Genomic DNA, 25,881 nt, shown 5'->3' with positions numbered 1-25,881 from the left:
AGTCTCCACTACACTTTTCCGTGGCTGCTGCCACACTCTATGTTACTCTGCCATTTGTATTCTGGCTTCACAATACATCAGATTATTCCTGAAGGAACTCAATACCACTGGATTGTGGTCCATTATGTTATTAGGGTCATTTCTGCTGGAATCATTTTCACAAGATTTATTGTTTGGTATCTGTAGATCTTCAGATTAGACCATCCTTTCCTCTCCAGCCCTTGATTCTGTTGTCTGCTTCTTTTTTATTTTAGAATCATTCACTGAATCCATTTGGTCAATACTGTTTGATTAGGGAAAGTTATTAAGTCATCATACACTGACAATTAATTATCTACATTCTTGTCGATGTATTTCTTATTTCCTATATTTCCAGGAAATCTCTTAGAAATTTTTACTTATGGTAGATATAATCCGCTCTACCAGCAGACCATGAGATTAGCCAGTAAAGCTAGCTCTGTAGGCAAAATAGACCATGCTAATAATATATGCTATTGCAGTAAAATATGCTATTTCAATAGTTTCTCATGGATGATAATAGTGATTTGGACCAGGATTATAATTAAGTTGCTATGAAAAGTGTTTGGGTTATGGGTATATTTAGAAAATAAAACTGGCAGGATTGGATTTGGGGTATAAGGAAAAGTAAAGAGACAAAAAAATGACAAAAATTTTTAGCTTGAATACTATGCAGAATAAATTTACCATTTCAGAGATTTGCAGGTGGTAGGAAGAACAGGTTTGGCAGAGGAGATCAAGAGTTTCATTTTGGAGATTTAAGTTTCAGGTAGTTACAGGTCTTTGGATAATAAAGTATCACAGCTAATCCTCTTTTCTGAGTATTATTAAGATACAGTTTACCTGTCTATGAAGAAATTTCAAAGGTTATATGGAAAATATTGACAGTCACTACATTAAGTGTAATTATGTCGGAAGAATACCTTTTAGGGTGGTCCTGGCTGACTATTAGGTATCTATCCTTCAGTTTCTTTTTCTTCTTAGAAATTTAAACACAAATTAAACTTAATCAAATATAACATTTTAAAATCATTTAAATAAAATAACTAGAAAATTTTGTACATCTCTTTATTCATTTCAATATGAATATAGAAAGATAATTGAAATGATAGTCAAGAAATATCAGTAACATTTAGTAACCAAGGGCTGGAAATTGTGGTTGTACATTTATTTATTTATTTTTATGGAACTGATTTTTAAAAAACATTTCTATATTTTTTCCATTTTTTTATAATGAGAACATGTTACTTTTACAATACTATATATACTAAAATGTAAAGAAAAGAGTAACATTACTGGTATGCACTTTGAATAGAAGTTATGACTCCAGGGAGATATGATTGATCAAAAGAAAAGGATTGGATAATCACCAAACTTCCTCCATGCCTTCCCTCTTGGAGATACAACCTCTTTCCAGGAAACAAATGAGCACTAAGAATTGTCATATCTTTAAGGATTTAGAATTTTTAACATAATTTTAATAATCCTACCATTTGTCCACATTAAAAAATGTACCATATTAACAACAGATTAATCCACAACAAAGGATTAGAACCAAGGTAGAAGAGTCAACGAAATTAGAAAAATTATTTTTCAGAATAGAGATTTAAAAGAAGCAGCCAGTGAAGTGAGGGTAACATTGAGATTTTGATGTCCATGAAGAAAACGGTAATGAATTCAAAAAGAAAGTACTAAGTTTCTACTAGATTTGGTGGGCTGGTATTTTTCTTTCCAAACAAACAAGTCTCTTGGATAAAACATAAGAAGCAGACAAAAAATCGTAAGAAAGTGAAATACCTAAGTGCCAGAGGTAACAGAGACAGAATGGTGAGTGGTATTTGATAATTAGTGGCTCAACAAAGTACAAAGTCTACATACAGGCCTTAAAACTGGATGCTAAGGTTGAAATGTCCGTGCAATATTGGATGATGATCATCTGGCCTGTGAAACCCATGAGCTAAAACTGAGATTTCTGTGAAAAATTGGCAGCCACAAAGGGCTATTTGTTCAATATGCTAGGAAACACAGCATCCAGTAGCTCAGGAAAGTGATAAGTAAACTAAAAATCTGCTTGGGTCATGGGTAGATGAGCAGGACTGATTCCAGCCCATAATAGTTCCTTGCATGAATTGTGAAAAAAGTGTCTCTTTTTATGGATGATTGCCTTTTCACACCAGAATACATGGCTTGATTAATGCACAAGACTGAATTTCTGGCACTGGTATCCCCTCAGTTGGGTGCTCTTTTTCAATGTATGATCTACACAACTGTATGCTGTTTATACAGAAGCCTGAGCTATTTACAATAAAAACTATTCGATAATAGGTGAAAAACTGTAAGGTCACATTTAGACAAGGCAAAATTGATCTTTAGAGAAGACTCCAAAACCGAGGTCACCTAATTTCATAGAACATGATATGCCAGAGAATAAATTCACGTAGGAAATTGCAAAATACACAAGGAGAAAGAACCAACAGATGCAACGTTTGGGAGTATTTAAGCCCCAAGTACTACAGAATAAAATAATCTTAAGAGATTTAAAAATAAGTATATGGAACTGAAACTTTCAGAGCTAATAAAGAGATATTGAAGTTATAAGACAAACAAAAAGAAGTATGAGAAAAATGCAGTAATGTACCATCTATAAACAAGTAGTATAGCCATGGCGTGTGGAACAGATATGGTAAGTAGCCAGATTAATATTGTTATAAATAAAATAAGTGAATTGGAAGATAATCTAAAGAAATAGCTCAAAAGAGAGGCAGAAAATATCAAAGAGAAGGCAAGAGATACAGAAGATTAGGAAAATTTCAAGATTTATTTAATACTATTTTTAGAAAAGGAAAATGGATAAATAAATGAGGCAACACAGTTTTCAAAAACAAACTGAAAAAGAGACCAAAAGAAACTAGGAGCATTTACTTGGAAGATATTAATTATATTCACTGAGAAACTAGGTGTTGAAACCAGAGAACAGGAAAGACAAAGGAAAATCTTAAAATATATAAATTTTACTTTATGGTATAAAAGAGTTACCGATAGCAAGACTTTCAGCAGACTTTTCATCAGTAATACTTAGAGATCAGATGTAAAATAAATTATTACCATCCAAGTGTGAAATTTAAATATTTTCATTGTATACTTTCATACATAGCTAAGCTATCATTTAAGAATGCAGGTGAAAAAAGGATAAATTCCAAGCTGCAAAGCTTCCTTATCATTGGAAACATTAATTGTATGTTTACTTGTGACTCTCGAGAATATCTCTCTTTTTAGAGTGCTTTCCCATTTTGCATCAGGTATGCATTTGCATTCTGCTTCCTGTATTTTCCTCTTCCTCTATTCCTATGTATACCTTGTCACCAAACACCTTCCTTTCTAGTAATACTGTTGAGTGTGAGCTAGCTGTTTCTTCAAATATTGTTGCAGAATTGTGTGGAGAAGGAGACATGGGAAAGAGGAATGTTCTACTCTTCCATTCAACTATCAGTCTTGTATACTCCCTCAGCATGAAGTTATCATATACCTTCCATCAACCCCTTTTAATTTCAGGATCTCCATGATGTGCTCATTTTTCTCTCCCTTTTTCATTCTTCCATATCTGCAGTTTGTAAACCTTACGATAGTAACCAAAGAGAGCTAGTGAGCATGTTTTCGAAAACCTCACTAGCTGCTTTGCAGGGTGCAGTGGTGATCTGTTGCTCTTTTCTGGGTATAGTGGGGAGGACGCAGGGGGCATTTCCCAATTAGGGAGTGTCTTGCCATAATAGGGACATTTCAATGATGAGAGCTCTTTTTTTTTTTTTCAGTCCATATCTTTTCTGATTTTGAGGAGCTCCAAGCTCTGAGTTCGACTTCTTGTTTTATTCCACTTTCACTATTGGATATATATTCTTCTTGACTGGTGCTTTAGATTTTGATAATTTACTTTCTTCTGCTTTGACTATGGAGTTTGATTCTTTTCATTATATGTTTATTTTGTTGTATTCAATGATGCTCAAGGGGTGAAATACATTACAAATATCTGTCATCTTTATTCAAAGCCACCTTACTTACATTTTGAGGCTTTTTTTCATTTGTTTCATTTTTGTACCATAATTAATTTTTAAAGGACAATATTGTCTCAGTCATTAATTTTCAAATCATAAGAGTTGATAAACTTTAATAGTTAGGTGTTCAGTGCATACTGTGTGTCAGTCACTGTCCTAACTGCTTTATTTGACTATCTCATTTAATCCTTAGAGATTCTAATAGCATCATTGTTCACACCTGGAGAAATGTAAAGGTGATGCAGTAAATAGGCGGAAATCTCACAACTAACAGCTGAACTGTGATTTGAACCTTTGCAATGTTAATGCACAGATTACATTCAAATCACAATGCTGTATTCTCATTTGTATGACTCAAGGAAAAATATCTATAATTCTCTTAGTTTAAAAAGTCATTCTCAGATCTCAAAAGAAAATTCATTTAAATGGAATTTAATGTAAAATACTTAGGAGGACTAAGGTACTGGTATAGCAAAATCAAACTAGCCATCCACACAAGAATTTTATATCTCCTTGTGGTTATATCTCTCATTCCTTTAAACAACTTATTGTTAATGAGAATAGCTAGTAAAGTCAGAAATGAGTAGATCATCATTTATATTTAACATTCTGGATTTTAGAGAGAAAATCTCTGAAATGAATGTGCTGTTTACAAGAGTAGAAAAACTGTAACATAAAGTTGCTTTTAGGTAAGTGGAAAATGAATACAAGATTAAGCTATGTAAATACAACAATAAAAAATAAGGACTTTAAATTCTTTCTTATGACAGTAAAATCTCATGAAAATAAGATTTCATAAAGATTTGCAAATGGGCTCTGTTAAAACTTACCTTTAAACTATTTTTAAATGATAGGAATTGCTCAGCAAATTAACTTTTAAATAAGTTTGTAGGTGAAATGTCCAACTTATTGAATAGAGTATTTTCAAGTACAATAGCCTGTTTTAAAAAAAAATAGTACTCAGTTAATTTTCTGGTCATGATAGCTGCTGTGTCAGGACCCACTATGTACTTTTCTATCCTTTTGTTTCAATTCCTCTATGTATGTTTAATAAAATAAACAACATTGTCTCCTTAAAAATACATAATTTGAGGTTTCTATTAACTCTGAAATAAATAGTTACAAATATTTTATATTCTAAATGAGATTAATACACAATAATTCTTATCCCTGCAGGAGAATAGTCCCCATATTATGAAGATTTAATGGTATGGTTTGGCTCTGTCCCTACCCAAATCTCAGTTTGAATTGTAGTTCCCATAATCCCCATGTGTCATGGGAGGAATCTTGTGGGAGGTAATTGAATCACAGGAGTGGTCATCTGCATACTGTTCTCATGATAGTGAGTGTGTTCTCACGAGAACTGATGGTTTTCTAAGGGGCTTTTGCCCCACTTTGCTCTGCACTTCTCCTTGCTGCCGCCATCTGAAGAAGGATGTGTTTGCTTCCCCTTTCTCCACGATTGTAAGTTTCCTGATGCCTCCCCAGCCATGCTGAACTGTGAGTCAATTAAACCTCTTTTCTTTATAAATTACCCAGTATCAGGTATGTCTTTATTAGCAGCATGAGAATGTACTAATCCAAGGGTCAATTCTGTTATAATGAAGCATAACCTATAATCTGGTATCTATGCCTACATGTTTTCAATTGAGTTTAATATCCTATATATATTAGAAACAGGGGTCTGAGTATAGGTATTTCTTTAGGAAAATATAAATTAGACGAGAAGGAGGAAGACAAATTTGTAAATTTCTACGTGGTAGCGTGACACATACATTCGGGAACCAATAATCCAAACAGGGACTTCGATCTAGATATAAATCACTATGAGTCAGAACATTTGGATACTAGGTGCATTTGTGTCATTTATAAGGTATAAGACCTCGGGAAAATCACTTCATCCACTGAGTTTTAGCCTTAACATCTAATAAGATAATCAACTAAAAATGCATAATTTAACCTTCTATAATTTTAATTTATTACTTCTGAAAAAAATTGATTGAATTTTTTATAAACTAGGGAAGAAGAATCAGATAACTCAAGCTTTTATATTCAGAAAAGTTTGGGGCAACTACTGACTTTGATAGTCTGCAGCCTGCTTGACAGTGCAACTCATTCCCAGTCTCCACTTGATAAGCAAAATGCATGTAAGCTCATTCTGCTGTGTTAAGGTTTTTTTTTTTAAATCTGTCAAAGGACCACTTCATTACTAATGATTTGTGTCCCTAATAAAGTTTATTCATGCTTAGAATATTGCTATAATGTATTGACAAAGGATTTTATCACTGCCAGTGTGCTAATTGAAACTCTTTATACCACAGTTAAGTAAAACAAAATTGAATAAATCTAGCATAGTAATCTGACCAATAAAATTTCCCTTATATTGCTGGCCTTCAAATTCAGGCAATTAAAATGTAGCAGAAAGTTAGGAAATTATCTGTATAACACAGGAAATAAAGTTTTCAATGAATAATTTCATAACCATCACTGCTATTTTGGATGGAATGTATGGCTACTAACCAGGACTCATATACAAGTTATAATATAAAAAGTAGACATTTTAAGATTGTTAATTAAAATATTTCTAATGTATTCAGTCAGAAGAAGCATACATACATTTATTCAAGAAATGTGAATTAAGCGTTTATAGTCTGGAGGATATACTGATAAGCAAAAGGTACAAATTGTTTACTTTCATGGAGGTGATGATATAGTAAGGAGTAAATTATGTAAACAAATAATTAAAATATAGCATCATAAGGGCTGTGATAGGGGAGGATTTGCAGAAGCACAGCAAGCCCTCAATCTGATTTGATAAGAAAATAAGAACACAGAGAAGAGGTCAAGAAATAATTGACCTCTAAAGGGAAACCTTTGACAGTTAAATTCAAGAGGAAAGAGTGAAGAGAATGTTAAAAATAAAAGAGCATGTAGAAATGTCTAAGGAAGGCTTGATTCATTGAAGGACCTAAAAAAGAGGAAATGAGTTCTGATTTTAATAGATGGGGCTCAACTCGGAAGAGTTGAACTTGGGGAGGTAAACCTGAGCCAGAGTTAGATAAGTAGATATTTCTGTAATTGACATTTTTCAAATAAGGCAAGAGAAGATGTAAAGCTATTAAAGTAAGAAAGGTGAGCTCTAAATAATATAAGAGCTAAAATAAATGACTAACATTTTTTCTCTGACTGCATCAAAAAGTAACAGAGGAAGCTTATAATAAATAGCATCGGTGCAAGTAGTCCATTGAAATAAGGCCCAAAAGAATAAGAACAAGGAATGAGGCTGATTAAAAATTATTATACTCAAAACCAATAATTAGGAATTAGCCTGTGAGAAACTATTTCATTGGGACATGCAAATTAGTTTGCATTTCCCATCATTCAAGCAAAAAAGGGTAATATTACTTAATTACTTAATGAAGAGGGGAGAGATCCCCCTACCAGCATTTAATACTGAAAGGGATATAAATATATAAGAGAAGTTGAACAATTACATTTCAAAATATTGCCCATCTCCCATTAAGTGACCATTAGTACTTATCCTCATATAACTTGCAGGCTCATTTCCTCCACATTGAGCAGAATTCTAGGATTTACAAGTCACCAGTCACCACTCATTTAGTCCCACATACCTCTGAACATCAAATCTGTATCACCCTGCCACTTCCAATGTGCCCTCAAACTCCACACTCATTCTACTCTCAAATGCTTCTCTGAATTATTTTCTTTCGTTTCCTCTAGTTCAGTCACTCCATCCATATTTATGGAGTCCTCAGTATGGCCCAGAGGTAAATTTCTTTCCCTAATTCACTATCCCACTCTCTGAGATCACTATCTCAGTTCTCTTTCAAACTTTCATCATCCCTTTCCTTTTCTACTTTCAGATGATAATATTGCTTCTTGTATTATTTTGCTTGGCCAAAGGTAGCTTTCATTTGGAAGCCTCTTCTCTCGCGCTGGAGGCAGCTGTCGTTTTGCCTGGTGCTCACATAATTTTTGTGTGTGGGTGAGATCTGAGGGATGGAGAGCTTTCTGATGTCTCTTCTTATAATGATAGAAATTCTATTAGATCAAGGCCCCACTCTTATAATTTCATTTAACCTTGATTACATCCTTATATACTCTGTCTCCAAATATAGTCACATTGGAGGTTAGGGCTTCAACACATAAGTTTTGGGTGGGGTACACAATTTAGTACATAACACTTCTTATTTCACCAAGAAAATAGAAGACATCAGATGAGAACTGAATCATCTTTCCACTTGCAAATTTAACAACTATCTGCATATGTTCCCACACAGTCTTCCTCCCTTTCTGTTGCAGTGCATGGCTATGCCAAGGACAACTACTGCCCTGTGCACTTGATTCACTCATGCCCCCTACGTACATGCCTTTTGCTCAAGATTATGTCCCATTCCCATTCTCCATCGTCAGTATATTCTTATTGGGTAATTTCCATTAGAATATACAGCTACTATAACAGCCCCAAACTTAAACAGAATTCTCATCCATCTTACTTAATTCTTTAATTCAATCCATGGCCCTCACTTTAAACAGTTATCTTTAGAATTTACATTATCTGTTTATGAAAGCCTTTTTAAATATTTGGATCCACACTTTCCAAGCATTTTTTTTTTTTTTTTTTTTTTTTTTTAAAGACAGAGTCTTACTCTGTCGCCCAGGCTGGCGTGCAGTGGTGTGGTCTCAGCTCACTACAACCTCTGCCTCATGGGTTCAAGCGATCCTCGTGCCTCAGCCTCCCAAGTAGCTGGGACTACAGGTGTGTGCCACCAGGCCCAGCTAATTTTTGTATTTTTCACCGTGTTGGCCAGGCTGTTCTCTATCTCCTGACCTCAAGTGATCTGCCCACCTTGGCCTCCCAAAGTGCTGGGATTACAGGTGTAAGCCATCAAGCCCAGCCCTGAGCATGTTTCTTGATGGAGTGGTTATTCTTTCTTACGTATTTAGTTGCCTTCTCTTTTTTCAGACCTTTTTTCAGGTACTATTAATTACGTAGGGTTCCAAGAAACAGTCTTTAACACTCCCCTCTTTACTCCGTCTTCGCTCTGTCCATAAGTAGTATCATTGCTTTAAGTATCATTTCTTTTTTCTTTTTTGGGATGGAGTCTGGCTCTGTCGCCCAGGCTAGAGTGCAGTGGTGTGATCTCGGCTCACTGCCCTCCGCCTCCCAGGTTCAAGCAATTCTCTGCCTCACCCTCCCGAGTAGCTGGGATTACAGGCACCTGCCACCATGCACGGCTAATTTTTGTATTTTTAGTAGAGACAGGGTTTCACCATCTTGGCCAGGCTGGTCTTCAACTCTTAACCTCGTGATCCACCCAGCTAGGCCTCCCAAAGTGCTGGGATTAGAGATGTGAGCCACCACGCCTGGCCTTAAGTATCATTTTCATGCTAAGTCCCCAATTTATATTCCCAGACCTGATCTCACTCTTGACTCTAACTTATACATTCAGTTGCCTACTTGATATATTGTTGAACACCTGACAGATGCCATAAATTTTAATATTAAAGACATTACTCCTTTTAAACTCCCAGTTTAATTCCTTCTCGAATCTATTTCTTGTTCAACGTTACTGCATAAAATATACTGCTGAAGCCAAAAACATAGGAGTTGTTTATGATTTCTCAGTTCTTATCCCTGGAAAATTCTGTTAGCCATAATTTAAAAAAACTATCCTTAATCCTACCACTTGTCACTTGGTGACTACTGTCCAAGCCATATGGTTAAGTCCAAGACATAACCATCTTGTACCTGGACCATTATCTTACCCTCTAGCTTTCTGCTTTCAGGTTCTACTCATATCATAACAGACTTTTTAAAAAAGCATTTTATTATAAAATTACTATAAAAATATAAAAAATAAGAATACAAAATAAAAGAATGCCTCCTATACTCATTAGCTGCCTTACATTTCAGGAAAATTATATTTCCTTAAGATTTTTTAAGACATAGAACATTATAATTACAGTTAAGTTCCTGAAGGTGTATTTTCATCTTATTGCAATTTCCTCTGTTCCCTCCAGAATTAAAACTGGTCTGACACACTCTTAAATCTTTACATATATATTTATGTATTTATAATATATGAGTAATGTGTATGTTTTCAATTTTTATGTAAATTATGTTATGCTCTAAATACCCCCTGGCAATAATTTTTGGGCTTAAAAATATATTTTGAAGATGTATCCATTGTTTTATTTATAGTTCTCTCTCATTTTATCTACTTTACAATATTTCATTATATAAATATATCATATTTTATTTGTTCATTCTCATGTAGAAAGACATTGTTTTGTATATGTATTTTTGATATTTCAAAGTGTTGCAGTATACATTATAGTATGTTTTTTCTCATATGTAAACATTTAAAAAATCATCAAATCATTATTTAAAAATTGTAGTATCCATTTCCACTCCCACCATCACAGCATGAGATTTTCCTTTACTTCAAGTTCTTATCCATATATTTTATGACAACATGACATATGTATGACAGCATCCTATGGCTATCATATACATGTCATATTGTCATAAAATACATAGATGTGTTTTCTTTTTTAATCTTATATTTTTTAATGAATTATCATTTTGTAATCTTTGGTATTTATATTGACATTTAAATGAATTTTTATACATTCTCGATAGAAGTCTTTGTCATTTATTGTGAAATCCAGGATTTCTTTCTACTGATACCTACAACGAAATCTGCATGCATTTCAAACACACACAACGTTCCTCTTACTATTAGAATGATGATACATTTCTCATTTCCATTGTTCTTCAATCCTCTGAAACTTCCTATTCTTGTATGTAAGATCAAATTTCTTCTTCCCATAGAACTATTTTAGTATTTTTTATACAGTTTATCTTTTAGAGATGAGTTTTCTCATTTTTTGTTTTGGTCAGGGGACTTATTATTTCCATATTAGCTGGTTATAGAACTTTACACATTCTGTTTCATTAATCTCTGGTTTCTTACATTTCTGTTGAAGAAAACATTGTAAATGTTTTAGTGGGTCCTTTGAAGAATATGTGCCTTTTTTCTTCTGGCTGGTTATGATTTTTCTCTTTATTTTTACTTTTAGTATTTTTCTTATGATATGCCCAGGTTTGATAATCCTTGTATTTAGTCTTCTTGAGCTTAACTGCTTTGAAATCTGTAGTTTGATGTCTTTCATTCATTATGGAAAAATCTTTATTATATGTCTTCAAAAAATCGCCTGTATTCTGTTCTTTCAATCTTCCCTCTCTGTGTCTATTTGTATAATTCTAATTCATTCTGTATTTCTCATGTTGATTATTTCTCTGTGATTTATCCTGAATATCTTCTACTAATCTATTTTTCAGATCATGCATCATCTTTTTAGGTGTATCTAGTCTATTCTTGAACCCATTTGCATGCATTAAATCAGTTATTTTTCTCATTTCTAGAATTTGTAATTAATTATATTAATTATATAATTTTATAGATTCCAAATCTATAGTAAAATCTTTTATATTGATATGTTCTTCCTAATATATAAATCGTATTTCTTTTAAAGTTGGTGAATGATAATCTTCATAGCTATCACCTCTGAGTTTGTTTCTACCGTCATTTAAAAATTTTTTTATTCCAATTTTTTCTTTCTTTCATGTTCCAATTTTTTATTTAATTCTATACATTGTGTATGAAAAATTTTAGAGGGTTTAGAGTATGCTTCTTCCTTTAGAGAGTATTTTGTTTTGCTTCTGACAGTATTGTAATCAATCACCATGGATTAAGTTTATTCAAGGCTAAGTTTCAGTTTTTATTAGTCCTTATGTATTTTCAGTTCATTCTTATTCCTGGATATAGTCTTTCAGGCATCCCAACTAAAAACCTGCAATGTCTACTGGGGCAGTTCCACCTGAGTGTGCCTGCACTCCATTTGTGTGTGTGTGTGTGTGTGTGTGTTTTGCGGTCCTAGAACGCTGCTTAAGGCTCTGCTCAAGTTCTCCCTGCCAACAGCTTCCTATCACATATTGCTAGAAAACGCAATTAGGAGAAAGAGGGGCAGACATAAGACTTACCTTAGTGTGTTGCTATTATCTGTGGGCTCTGACTGAGAGGTGACAGCGTGCTGGCAGTCCTCACAGCCCTCGCTCGCTCTCGGCGCCTCCTCTGCCTGGGCTCCCACTTTGGCGGCACTTGAGGAGCCCTTCAGCCCGCCCCTGCACTGTGGGAGCCCTTTTCTGGGCTGGCCAAGGCCGGAGCTGGCTCCCTCAGCTTGCGGGGATGTGTGGAGAGAGAGCCGCGGGCGGGAACCAGGGCTGCGCGCGGCGCTCGCGGGCCAGCGTGAGTTCCGGGTGGGCGTGGGTTCGACAGGCCCCGCACTCGGAGCGGCCAACCCGCCCCGCCGGCCCCGCCGGCCCGGCAGTGAGGGGCTTAGCACCTGGGCCAGCAGCTGCTGTGCTCAATTTCTCGCCCGGCCTTAGCTGCCTCCCCGCAGGGCAGGGCTCGGGACCTGCAGCCCGCCATGCCTGAGCCTCCCCGCAACTCCGTGGGCTCCTGTGCGCAGGAGCCTCCCCGACGAACGCCGCCCCCTGCTCCAAGGCGCCCAGTCCCATCGACCACCCAAGGGCTGAGGAGTGTGGGCGCATGGCACGGGACTGGCAGGCAGCTCCACCTGCGGGCCGGTGCCGGATCCACTGAGTGAAGCCAGCTGGGCTCCTGAGTCTGGTGGGGACTTGGAGAACGTTTATGTCTAGCTAAGGGATTGTAAATACACCAATTGGCACTCTTTCTAGCTCAAGGTTTGTAAACACACCAATCAGCACCCTGTGTCTAGCTCAGGGTTTGTGAATGCACCAATCGACACTGTATATAGCTACTCTGGTGGGGACTTGGAAAAGCTTTGTGTTGACACTCTGTATCTAGCTAATCTAATGGGGATGTGAGAACCTTTGTGTCTAGCTCAGGGATTGTAAACACACCAGTCAGCGCCCTGTCAAAACAGACCACTGGGCTCTCTGTAAAGTGGACCAATCAGCAGGATGCGGGTGGGGCAAGATAAGAGAATAAAAGCAGGCTGCCCGAACCAGCAGTGGCAACCCGCTGGGGTCCCCTTCCACAGTGTGGAAGCTTTGTTCTTTCGCTCTTTGCAATAAATCTTGCTGCTGTTCTCTTTTTGGGTCCACACTGCCTTTATGAGCTGTAACACTCACAGCAAAGGTCTGCAGCTTCACTCCTGAAGCCAGAGAGACCATGAACCCACCGGGAGGAAGGAACAACTCCAGACCCGCCGCCTCAAGAGCTGTAACACTCACCGCCAAGGTCTACAGCTTCACTCCTGAGCCAGCGAGACCACGAACCCACCAGAAGGAAGAAACTCCAAACACATCCAAACATCAGAAGGAACAAACTCCGGACATGCCGCCTTTAAGGACTGTAACACACCGCGAGGGTCCGCGACTTCATTCTTGAAGTCAGTGAGACCAAGAACCCACCAATTCCGGACACATGACCTCCTCAAATCCCAGTTCCCAGGCATAAGCCTTACCTTAGTGTGTTGCTATTATCTGTGGGCTCTGAATTCCTCAAATCCCAGTTCCCTAGGTAGCTCTCCAAAGCAATGTCTTTTTCTAATTTATCCCGTGTCCTTTGTTTCTCAGGAGGACTGGTAGTCTGTCACAGTCATCCTGCATTGTGTCTTTTGACTTTATTTTTATGTTGTTTATTTTTTGGCAGATTTCCTCATAAATATATTTTGATTTATCAGCCTTCATTATTTGTTCTTTTGGTGTCCTGCTAAAAACATATTTTGTATCTCAAGATAGTCTCATTTATTTTCTTTTAAAGGTTTTAAATTTTTGACTAAAATTATCTTTTTACTGGCAAGAAATATTAGCAGTGATTTTTAAAAGAAGCTTTTTACCATGAAAGGAGGGATCTCGAACTTCATATGTATTGTGTTTTTAATCATATGCCTTATGCATTTATTATTGTATATTTCATATTGATATCTAAATAGGTACATGTGTTTATTTTTCTTGATTTTGAACAACTCTTGGAGGAGGAAGGAAATGTGATTATGAATGATGCAAAGCACAAAATCGCGAGAGTTCAAAAGCTTGCCATGAAGGTCAAGGATTTTTTCGACTCTTTTTTATGTTTTTTACTCACAGTTGAGAGACTGAGGGTATTTGAGAAAGTTATAATCCCAAAGAATGATACACATTTGCTTATACAACATACACACAAAAAATTAATAAAAATAAAAAGATCAATATTTATCTCTACAATATAAGAGATATGTATTTCTTTGGGGACTGATTTGGGGAGAAAATAAATAAAAAATAAAACCAAGAGGTGGCTTTAAGGATCGAAAAGTAGAAAGGATTGAAGAACAGTGGAAATGGGAAACAAATAATCACTTTAATAGAGATATTAGTAAGAAGAATGTTGTGCAGATTTAAAATGCATGCAGATTTCATTATAGAAAAAAAAAATTCCTATTTCATACAAGCTGTTGACAGCCAGGTTGTTCTGTCAAAGACAAACACAATCAGAAACTGAGAAAACATAAGAAATTGGTATTTGAAAAGAGAACTATTGTTTCAGCTTCAAAAGATCAAATTAAAAGATAACCTTTCGATTGTATAGTTAAAATAGAAACTATGGACAAGAAAAGAGGTAAATATGATCAGTAAATACACAAAGGCAAGTCTGGGGGCCCACTGTACAATCAAAATAAAGAAGACAAAATTGAAAATGAAGACAAAATGAAGAAGACAAAATTGCCATAACCCTGCTGAAACTGTATGTGTATGGGGAGAAGTTTCGATGCCAAAGCAAGCAGAGAACAAGTCTTTCAGCAATGAGAAAAGCGATCCGATCGGTGTTTTTCTGTTGTCTCTGTAGATTTTTTTTTTTTTAATGTATGGCTTGTTAATGACTAGTAAGGGTTAAACTTTATTTTGATTTTGTTCTTAACTTTTAAAGTGACTTTTTATTCATTTTTCCCGTTTTTAAAATGTGATGTTTAATTATTTCTTATTAATAGAAAAAGCTCTTAGTAAAGGTAACAAAAGGAATGGCAAAAGCCGCAATTACTTTTGCGCCAACCTAGTAAGAATATTGAACATCTTCCTGTTGTATTTACCATAAGCCATTTCCCAAATGGTTGTTACATATTTGTATATTTTTACAGACTGTATATTGGGTATGTTTATGCCATAAAATCTTCAGTCTTTGTATTTTCTTTAGTTATCATCATGTTTAGAAGTCCTTCAATTGGGAAAGGTAAGACAAATATTCTCACATATTGTCTTCAACTTGTTTTAATTCTTGCATCTTTCCATGAGTATTATTTATCTATTTATGTATAAAAAATACACCAAAACATAGCAACTTAAAAGCCACCAACATTGTCTCAGTTTCTGTGGGCAAGGAGTTCAGGCATAGGTTAGCTAGGTCCTCAAGCTATGAGCATCTCACAAGGCTGCCATCAAGGTGTCAGCCAGGGCTACTGTTGTCTTAAAACCTGATTTTGTTCATTCATTCATTCAGCAAATTTTTATTTAGCACCTACACTCTTAAATATATATATAATATATAATATAAATATACATTATATACATATTTGAAAAAGATGGATGTAGGCTTTCCCACATAAAATTCACCAAATTTTTCTGCTTATAGATCTGACAGTTCTTTTATAGATGACAGTTCTGCTTATAGATTAATCTGACAGTTCTTTTGACTTTACTTATTAAATATTTATAGCCAGTGCCAACCTTTTTTTCTCTTTAAAATGCTGATGGTTATTTTAGAACATTTACTTTCCCATGGGAAATTTAAATATTAATGTATGCCTCTTAAACTCACCAAAATTGAATTTTAATTAAAATTGATATCCATTTATAGCTTAATAGAGGGACAATATACATAGTTTGCACTATCAAGTAACATAGTAGATCTCTTCAATGAGCCAAATGTCTTTTATGTGTTTCAGTCAGATTTTTAGATATCTCTTTTTATACCACAAATATCTGGCAAATTTTATTTCTAATTATTTTAATGTCTTTTAATACAGGGTTGAGAATGTACACAGCAGTTTATATTACAAACTAATTATCCTAAGTATTCCAATAAGGATTCTTATATTCTTATGTTATTTTAATCAGCCTTCTTAGTAAATGTTAATATTTATAAATTCTAAGAGTTATTACAATGTTTATGTAGTCTTCAATCATATCAAATCCAAGAAACTATGATCTTGACACTATTTTTTCAATTATTACACGTTGCAATTTGTATTATCTTCTGAAGTATTGTCCTTTCCAGAACACACAGTATATTAAATGACACCACAGTTAGTATGCAGTCATGTGCTGTATAACATCATTTTGGTCACCAGTGGATCACAAATACAGTGGTGATACCATAAGATTATAATGGAGGTGAAAAATTTCTATCACTTAGTGGCATCATGGCATTATAACCATCATAACATCGTAGTGCCACATGTTACTCACATGTCTGTGGTGATGCTGGTGTAAACAAACCCACTGTGTTGCCAGTGGTATAAAAGTACAACACATACAATTGATGTGCAGCACGTAGTACTTGATAATGATAATAAAAGACTGTAACTGGCTTATGTATTTAGTACACTATACTTTTAATTGTGATTTTAGAGCATACTTTTAAAACTCATCTTAAAAGAAAATTAATGGTAGAATAGGCTTAGGCAGGTTCTTCAGGAGGTGTTCCAGAAGAAGGAATTGTTATCATAGATGACAGCTCCATGTGTGTTATTGCCCCTGATGACCTTGTAGTGGGACAAGATGCGGAGGTGGATAACAGTGATATTGATGATCCTGACCCTGTGCAGACCTAGGCCAATGTGTGTATTAGTGTCTTAGTTTTTAATTAAAAAGTTTAAAGTAAAAAAAGAAGAAAAAACTTATAGAATAAGCATATTAAGACAGAAAATATTTTTGTACATCTGTGAAATGAGTTTGTGTTTTAAACCAAGTGTTATTACAATAGAGTCAAAAAGTTAAAAAAAGTTTATAAAGTAGTTATAGTAAACTAAGATTAATTTATGATTGAAAAAAGAAAAATATTTTTTATATACTTGGTGTATCCTAATTGTACAGTGATAAATTCTATAGCAGTGTACAGGCTTTCACATTCATTCACCACTCACTGACTCACCCCGAGCAACTTCCAGTCCTGCAAACTCTATTCATGGTGAATGCCCTGTACAGGTGTACCATTTTTTATCTTTTATACTATATTTTGAGTGTGTCTTTTCCATATTTAGACACACACAAAACTGATCATTGTGTTATAATTGCCTACATAATTGAGCACAGTGACATGTTGTACAGGTTTTTACCCTAGAAGCTGTAGGCTGTACCATCTAGCCTAGGCTATACAATCTAGGTTTGTGTAAGTACACTCTGTAACTTTCTCAGAGTGACAAAATTGCCTAATGATGCATTGCTCAGAATGTATTCTCACCATTAGCAATTTGTGTTTCTAAAATTAACATGAATCCTTCTAGGTTATTATTATGACAAATGTTGTCCACTGAATTCTAATAGACAATTTAAAACAGCATTTTAAGAAGCTATTCATTCTTTCTAGTTTCTAAAAAATTATACTTAGAAATTGTTGAAAATTTTAGAATTTTTATATTATTAGATAATTATCCTTATTGTTATCAACAAAATATTTTCACATAATAAACTAATTTAAGATATTTAATCATTAAACAAGCTTCACACTTTAAAAGTAACCCCAATGTATAATGAAATGTGATTTTAGTATAGTCTTACATTAATTTATGACAGTGTGTTATTTTTAATTTTTGTTTCTTTATTTTAAATGAAATTGGCTATAATTTTATTTTCTTTTGTTTTTTTTTTTTTTTTAGGTGAGCTCAGGGGACTTTATTGATGGTAACCGACAAGGTGGGGCTCCTTAGGCCCCTCCCTCTTCAGGGGGTCTGCATGGAAATTGTGAGGAAGGGAGATTCTCATTGTGGTGGGGGACTGAGTGCAGCAGGGAGCTCCCCGGCAGCTGAAGGCCTCTCTCTTCCTCTTGCACTCTCGTTGGGGTTGGTGGTCTGGGGGGTCTTACTTCTTGGAGGCCATGTGGGTCATGAGGTTCACCACCCTGTTGCTGTAGCCAAATTCATTGTCATATCAGGAAATGAGCTTGACAAAGTGGTCGTTGAGGGCAATGCCAGCCCTAGAATCGAAGGTGGAAGAGTGAGTGTCGCTGTTAAAGTCGGGGGAGATGACTTGGTGCTCAGTGTAGCCCAGGATGCCCTTGAGGGAGCCCTCTGATGCCTGCTTCATCACCTACTTGATGTCATCATATTTGGCAGGTTTCTCCAGATGGCAAGTCAGGTCCACGACCGACACGTTGGCAGTGGGAACATGGAAGGCCATGCCAGTGAGCTTCCCATTCAGCTCAGGGATGACCTTGCCTACACCTTTGGTAGCTCCAGTAGATGCAGGGATGATGTTCTGATTAGCCCACAGCCATCATACCACAGTTTCCCAGAGGGGCCATCTACAGTCTTCTGGATGGCAGTGACGGCAAGGACTGTGGTCATGAGTCCTTCCACGATACCAAAGTTATCATGGATGACCTTGGCCAGAGGCATTAAGCAGTTGGTGGTACAGGATGCATTGCTGACAACCTCGAGGCTCTTATCCTACTTCTCATGGTTCATAACCACAACGAACATGGGGGCATCAGCAGAGGGGGCAGAGATGATGACCCTTTTGGCTCTCTCCTGCAGGTGAGCCCGAGCCTTCTCCATGGTGGTGAAGAAACTGGTGGCGTCCACTATGTACTCAGTACCAGCATCACCTCATTTGATTTTGGTGGGATCTCTATCCTGGAAGATGATGATGGTAATTCCATTGATGACAAGCTTCCCGTTCTCAGCCTTGATGCTGCCATGGCATTTGCCACGGGTAGAATCATACTGGAACATGTACACCATGTAGTAGAGGTCAATGAGGGAGTCATTGATGGCGACAGTATTCACTTTACCAGAGTTAAAAGCAGTGCTGATGACCAGGTGCCCAATATGGCCAAATCCATTGACTTGGGCCTTTACTTCCACCATAGTGTGTCAGGGATGCCAATGGCGCTGCACGAGAAGATGCAGCTGTCTGTCAAACTGGAGGAGCAGAGAGCCTATAATTTTCATGTTGAACTATTTTATGTTAATTTTATTGTTACGCTAGTATAAAATGTTAATTTAAAAAATACATATTTTTCTAGGCTTTGGAATGCTTAAGTATAATAAAAGTTATTTGGTTCTTTGACTTTTGAAAGAAAACACATTTTTTTGGAGGCTGTACTCTGATGCAGTTTTCAAGGTCTTCTGCATTTATGAGGGTATTCAGGTATTTCAATTCATAGGTCAGTTTTTTCATTTATATTTAACATGAAATCATCTATTTTTTCTAGGTTTTTAAATATATTAGCATATAGGCTTGAAGTTGATTACCTCATATTTTAAGTATCTTCTAAAAATTCTTGTTTATCTCTTCTTTTTCAATTGTTTTTCATTTAAAAACACTTTTCTTATTTCCAATATTATCTCTTTGCAGTTTTCTTTTTGACTTGACTACATTTACTAGGTACATGTGGATGATATTAGTATCTTCTAAGTAAATCTTAAATTTCTTTATAAAAAATAGTTAAGCTTCCATGTTTCTTATTTGATTACTTTCTAATAGAGTTTTAATTCCTACTTTTTGCTCTTTTGTTTTCTTTGGCACTATTTCTCTGATATCTTGAGTCAATCACTCCAGTAATCATAGCATAACTGTGAATATTCAAGGTATAACACATTTTGTACTAAGTACAATATTGGCTGAACACCATAAAATATAGTGTTTTTGTTGTAATTATTTTCTAAATGGACTATAATTGCAATTTCATTTCCTTTTAAACCCAATATTCAAGGAAATGTTCTGTATTATCCATTTTTTTAAATTTTAAGATGTTAATTTTTAGTATTATAGACTGGTGGTTGTAGAGTGTGACCTCTACAATTTCTACTTTTAAAATTTCTTTAGAATTTCTTTGTGGTCTGCAAAGTAATACAATTTTGTAAATGTTCTGCAGACACTGGGGATTAAAGAATATCCTCAGCTTATAGATTACTAATTTGAGTATATGGCTATAAAATCAAGAATGTAAATTATGTTATTCTGATTGTATAAATTAGTAGGCTTAAATATTTTTATATTCATGGCATAGCTTTACATGACAGAAAATTTGGCAGTACACTTAAATAAATAAGAGATTGGAATAACTATGAAACAAATCAGCCTTAAACTACAACTTTACCATTATATTTGAGCATATATCCCATATTTATACAAAAAGTGATTTTAGTTGATAAGATGTATTGAATGCATATATGTGTTGTCACAAATTGATGCTCTTTACATGCATATAATCCATGTATAACACACTTATTAGCTTTGTCTTTAAGATGAAAAAATGAGGCATAAAGCTTAAACATGGTGTTCTGTTAGTCTTAAAATAGTATAATGGTAATATTATTTGTAGTTTTTTCCTAAAATGGAAAGTTACTTAGATAAGAGATAATTGGGGAAAAATAAGTGATGTTATAAATTTTGCCAAGCTAAAAAGTGTGATTTCATTCATTCACTTTTGATACAACATTTATTGAGTGTTTATTATGAACCAGGCATTCATTGTATTAGGTCTTATAGAAATAAAATTCATTTAAAAGCATTTCCACTATCACTGACAATACAGAACACATAATAAAAGAGAAATTGTTGCTCTTATTTACTAAGTTTGTTGAGAAAGAAAATTGCAATTGAGAAGGCAGAAGTAGAACAACATAATTAATTCCCTCCCCTGCTCCACTCCTTTGTAAAAAATTAAACAAACTAAGTTCACCTCTCTCTGTCTTTCTGTCCTTCTCTCTCTCATACATACACATTCACCTTCTTGACTGCCTTTGAAGTAACTGTGTAATGGGCTATATGAAAATTGAAACACATTTTTTAAGAAATAGCAAATGTCAGTAGCTTCATACAGCTAAAGGTCAGTGAATGATATGCATCTCCTGGCTTGCCCTCTCATAACACTTTGCTATCAGGTGGTACAAAGTAACAATGTTCTATAAAATGTTTATTAGTAGTACGCACTCATTCATAAACCAGTTTTTGTAACTTTGGTGAATTACCCGGTCTCCTTTCAGAGACCTCAGAGAGCTGCACCCTAATGTTGATGCTGTGATCTTCTGAGGGCAGAATCAGCCAAAATGGACCAGGAAAGTCTTTCACAAAATGAGATGCATTGGACCAGGTAGCGATGTAGAGGACAAGATAATTTGATTCGATAATTTAAGTACTTCTCTGATGCTTCTGGGCTTGTTGAAATTTTATACCTTGATGCAAAGGTCGTGGTATCTGTACAGTCTCTATGGGTAGTCAAAGCTTTTGAACACCTCTCATTTTGCTAAAGAAATTATTTTTATCATTTGTATAAGAAAAACAAAACAAAGAACAAACAGGAAAATGAAACTACTCTGGTATACACAACAACAATGTTTGAAAAGTTCAATATAATAATGCTTGGGCTGTGGATTTCAAAGGGTCTTCAAATAATGAGTACCCCTAGGGTATGGATTAAAGTTGCCTTCTATACAAAATACCATGCTTATAAAGGCATGTGTTAAAGAAAATCATTGTATAAATGGGCTAACTGGAAGGAAAACAGGTTAATTAATTTCAAGACACTCTCTGCTTTTAGTTGGCTTCAATAGTTGTCCAAACAGTGTGATAGAAAAATGAGAAAAAATTTTCAGTGGTTCAAAGGATTATATCATCTATTTCAGTAAGAGAAACAGAGGAAATAACAAGCCTCTCTTTCTTCTTGATTAGCAACAATTTCTCAGATAGTCTGATATTTTTAGTAAGCCAGTTAGAAAAAAATGTTGAAACTCTAAGCTGTTCATGTTGAAATTTATACAATAGAAATACAAAATTAGAGATGAAAGTCAATGGCCGAAAAACAGCAACAATTCATCTGTACGGCCAAGTAAATCCAACAGAAACATGTCTCAACTCAACTTTCCTTTGGCTTTCGTCTTCCAAAATGCCCATGAACACTCCAAAGCCATTCTTCAAGCCGGGAAAGATGGTAGCAAGACATTCAAAGTGCAAAGGGAGAGTGGTTTTACATTATCATGGCTAAATATTTTGTTATTGTCATTCATTTTTTAGTTTTGAAATCTTATAAATGCATATAATCATGTAATCACATTGACATGGGCCTTCCTGGGGCCTTGGGAGGGGCTGATGTAACCGCCAAGTCCGAAATCTAAGGTTTATACTTTCATGGCAAATCTTTCTATGCCTGAATTTGAAAAGTGTTCATAATGGTCTCTAGCTATTAGTTTTGCTGTTTGTAGTCTGTGATAAAAAAAACTTTACTGCTGGTTGTTTAAATATTTTTATTATACACGGAAAAATATCTTTATGATAAAGAATTCTTTACTTATAGGTATTCATTTTACACACACTCACACACATACACACACATATGTATATATTCAAGAGTGAAGTTTCTTAAATGCATAGAGTATGAAGTAAGCATTTTTTTTCTTCTTAGTATCCACACTAGGCATTATGCAGTTTATATCCAGAGAGAATGAAATAAATATTGATGGAATAGCTTAATAGACAAAGTAGCTGGAAAGAAATTTTCTAAAGAAATTTCTGTAACATCCATAACAAGTTGTGATTTATAGTAGGTTTTTAATAGATTTTCTACTTTTATTGAACTCATTGGTTAAGTTTGCCTAACGTACATACTATTCACTCAGATAAGTATTTTCAGAATTGTTTTTGTAATTTTCTGAATAATGCTAGCTCCCTTTTTAAAATGACCTGAAAATGCTCTTATTTGAGTGATTCCCTTTTTCCCCCTTGTATATGCTAAGTATAGTTAAAAGAAATGGTTTCTATACTTTAAAGAAATGTTTTACAATATTTTAAAATTTTCATTTATGAAGTTGAATTAAACATACAAGAACATTTCTTACAGCTTAGGTTAGGATGCTGATGCTTCTCAGGAGTGACGAATTTTAGTTTGGGTTTCTCATTCCCTATTTTGTTTGGACTCAGCAGTGTAGTGGGTGAGATCTATTTAAAATAATTTTGGGAATGTAGTAGATTCGATTATTGGCCCCAATACTTCACCCTTTCATGCTTCCATACTTTTCCCTACAGTTCATCATAGCTTGCCTCTTGACTTTTTGTTCGACCATGTGTATTAGTTTTCTGGGGCTGCGGTAACACAATGCCATAAACTGGGTGACTTAAATGATAGATATTTACGTTCTTACAATTCCGGTGTCTGGAATTCTGAAATCAAAGTGGTGGCAAGATTGGTTCCTTCTGAGGGCTGTAAAGGAGAAACAGTTCCATCCTTCTCTCCTACTTTAACCAACTGAACCACAGCGATCTTGGAGATATGTGAGCAGAAACAAATGTTGCTTTCAGGTATTTAGTTTGAACATGTTTTGTGATTTGGCAATTATTAGCAATACTTAACTGATACAGTTAGTATCTAAATTGTTTTCCTACTAAGTTTATTAGCTGCCTTGATATCAAAAAATTTTATGCATTTTATTTCAATATGATGAATGCTACTTTTTCTATTGTACTATATATTTAAAGATTTTAATAAATAAAATTTGTAAAAATTAAAAGGAATAACAAGAAAAATATGGAGGAATACCTTTTTTCAGTTTTACTTATCTAAAACCTTTTTAAAGAGAAAGGAGATATGCTTATGATTTACTGAGTTCACAAATGTTTTATTTTGTTATAATCCTCTCACTTTCACCTGAATTATACATCTGTTCATCCTAAACAAAAGAGTAAATACCTAGATAGTAGATTTTTTGTTAGCTAAACTACCCCACTCATTTCTACTTGGCAGAATCTAGAATTCTGAAAAGTAGAGGAATGTAGAATATTTAAGAAGTTAAAACATGCTGTGGTAGGCTTGTTTGTCTTTCAGGGATAGAGATCTTAGAAGAGCTATGTGAAAAGCTAGCATTCAGATGGAATGGTTTTTCATCCCTGGACCAAGCTTGTCCTCTTGAGTCATCCTAGCTAGAATATTTGTGGACGTTTTTTACATGAATCTGTGGAAGAGAAAACATGAGTATTAACTATAAGTTAAGGTGTTAAACACAACTGCAATGGGTACTCACTCTGCTGAAAGGAAACAACTATAAAGTGATGCATTTTTATCCAAGGATTTGCTCCTCTCCATAGAGATGACTAGAGATAATATCAGTTCCGAATTCATGAAATCACAGATTAATTTAAGTTCAACATGCAAATGAGTATAAATGTAAATTATATTTGTAATATTACCTATGAAAATTTTTATCTATTTATTATTATCAGTTTCTGGTTTGAAAACTAAGAACATAGATAAATCAAAACCCATATTGTTTTTTTGTGTGTGTTTCAGTAGGGCTTCACATGGGCAAGTTCAACGAGCCCTTATAAAGTAGTTGAAAATTAATTATCTAATCCCTAACTCTCTCCATAGATATAAAGATATAACTGCCATTTGGACATCTTTGCATGTCTTAAATTTCATGTAAGTCTCATGACTAATTAAATTTAGCCTATTACAAAATACTTCATTTTCTTTTCCAAATTCTGTCTTCTTCATAGAAAAAATCAATACCATGGTTGACTTTCTATATTTCTTTGTCAGTTAATGGTATATGGTTTCACAGTAAATCATGTTTTCAAGCCAAAAACTTGCATTCAATCTCAAATCTTTCTTCTCTTTCCTATCCAATCTCAAGTATCTATTCTGTTTTACTGTTTTCTTATTTATCCAATTTCATTATTAATTTTGCATTATTCCTAAAATACACTGATTATCACTCCATTATTTTAAAATATTTTGACAATTCTTCCTTTCCTAGAATTAGACAAGTATCTTATATTTATCCAAATTTACGTACTTTCCCACTTCTGAAATTAGTGAACAATTAATGTGATTCCAGAAAATATTACTTGTGGTTTCCTGAACATAAGGTGTTTTTTCACTCACATATCTAATCTACTAGTATCAAAATTCAGCCATGCCCCTGCCCTGTGCTTTGCTATTTTTTTATTGAAGACAGCATCACTATCAGTCTTGGCTGTCTGGTAGCATCAAAAAATATTACATTCACTTCCAGTCTCCATAGCCAATGCAACTCCATTGTGTTAGTCTGTCTGAGTCAGGAGTTTTTGACCTCAACCATGTGCTATGCCCAGAACACATTCTTACCCAGAAAAATCTGGAGACACACCCAGGCTTACAAGTGAAAACAGGATGTGAGGTGTGCAGCTTTGTTTCTGGGTTCTCTATTCTGTTCCTTTGGTTCGTGTATCTGTTTTTGTACCATTAACATGCAATTTTGGTCACTGTAGCCTTATAATATAGTTTGAAAACTGGAAATATGATGCCCCTGGCTTTGTTCCTTTTGCTCTGCCTGGATTTGTGGATTTGTTTGGCTATTTGGGCCCTTTTATGGTTCTGTATGAATTATATATATACATATATATATATGTATATATATACACTATATATATACGTATATATGTACATATATACATATGTATATATGTATATATACGTATATATGTACATATATGTGTATATATACACTATATATACATATATATACACTATATATATACATATATATGTATATATATACACTATATATA

At 34.8% G+C, this 25,881-nt stretch overlaps 1 long non-coding RNA gene and 1 pseudogene across 1 annotated transcript in view, besides 1 other annotated feature; both read right to left on the bottom strand.

Moving 5' to 3' along the window:
* LOC105375148 (uncharacterized) overlaps positions 1–12,376 on the bottom strand; it is a 147,709-nt gene extending 135,333 nt beyond the window's left edge. Inside the window, exon 1 of the long non-coding RNA NR_187872.1 lies at positions 12,139–12,376. This is a non-coding gene — a long non-coding RNA (uncharacterized LOC105375148). The remainder of the gene's footprint in view (positions 1–12,138) is intronic.
* Positions 12,915–13,115: a silencer, noted in NCBI's record as "peak6371 fragment used in MPRA reporter construct". NCBI's record gives its function as "represses an SCP1 promoter by STARR-seq MPRAs in K562 erythroleukemia cells {active_cell/tissue: K562}" and the evidence as "EXISTENCE:reporter gene assay evidence [ECO:0000049][PMID:32103011]".
* GAPDHP68 (glyceraldehyde 3 phosphate dehydrogenase pseudogene 68) lies at positions 17,995–19,273 on the bottom strand (annotated as a pseudogene).

The sequence above is a fragment of the Homo sapiens genome, chromosome 7 (assembly GCF_000001405.40).
Source record: "Homo sapiens chromosome 7, GRCh38.p14 Primary Assembly".
Lineage (NCBI taxonomy): Eukaryota > Metazoa > Chordata > Mammalia > Primates > Hominidae > Homo > Homo sapiens.
This window is presented reverse-complemented; position numbering and strand designations above follow the sequence as displayed.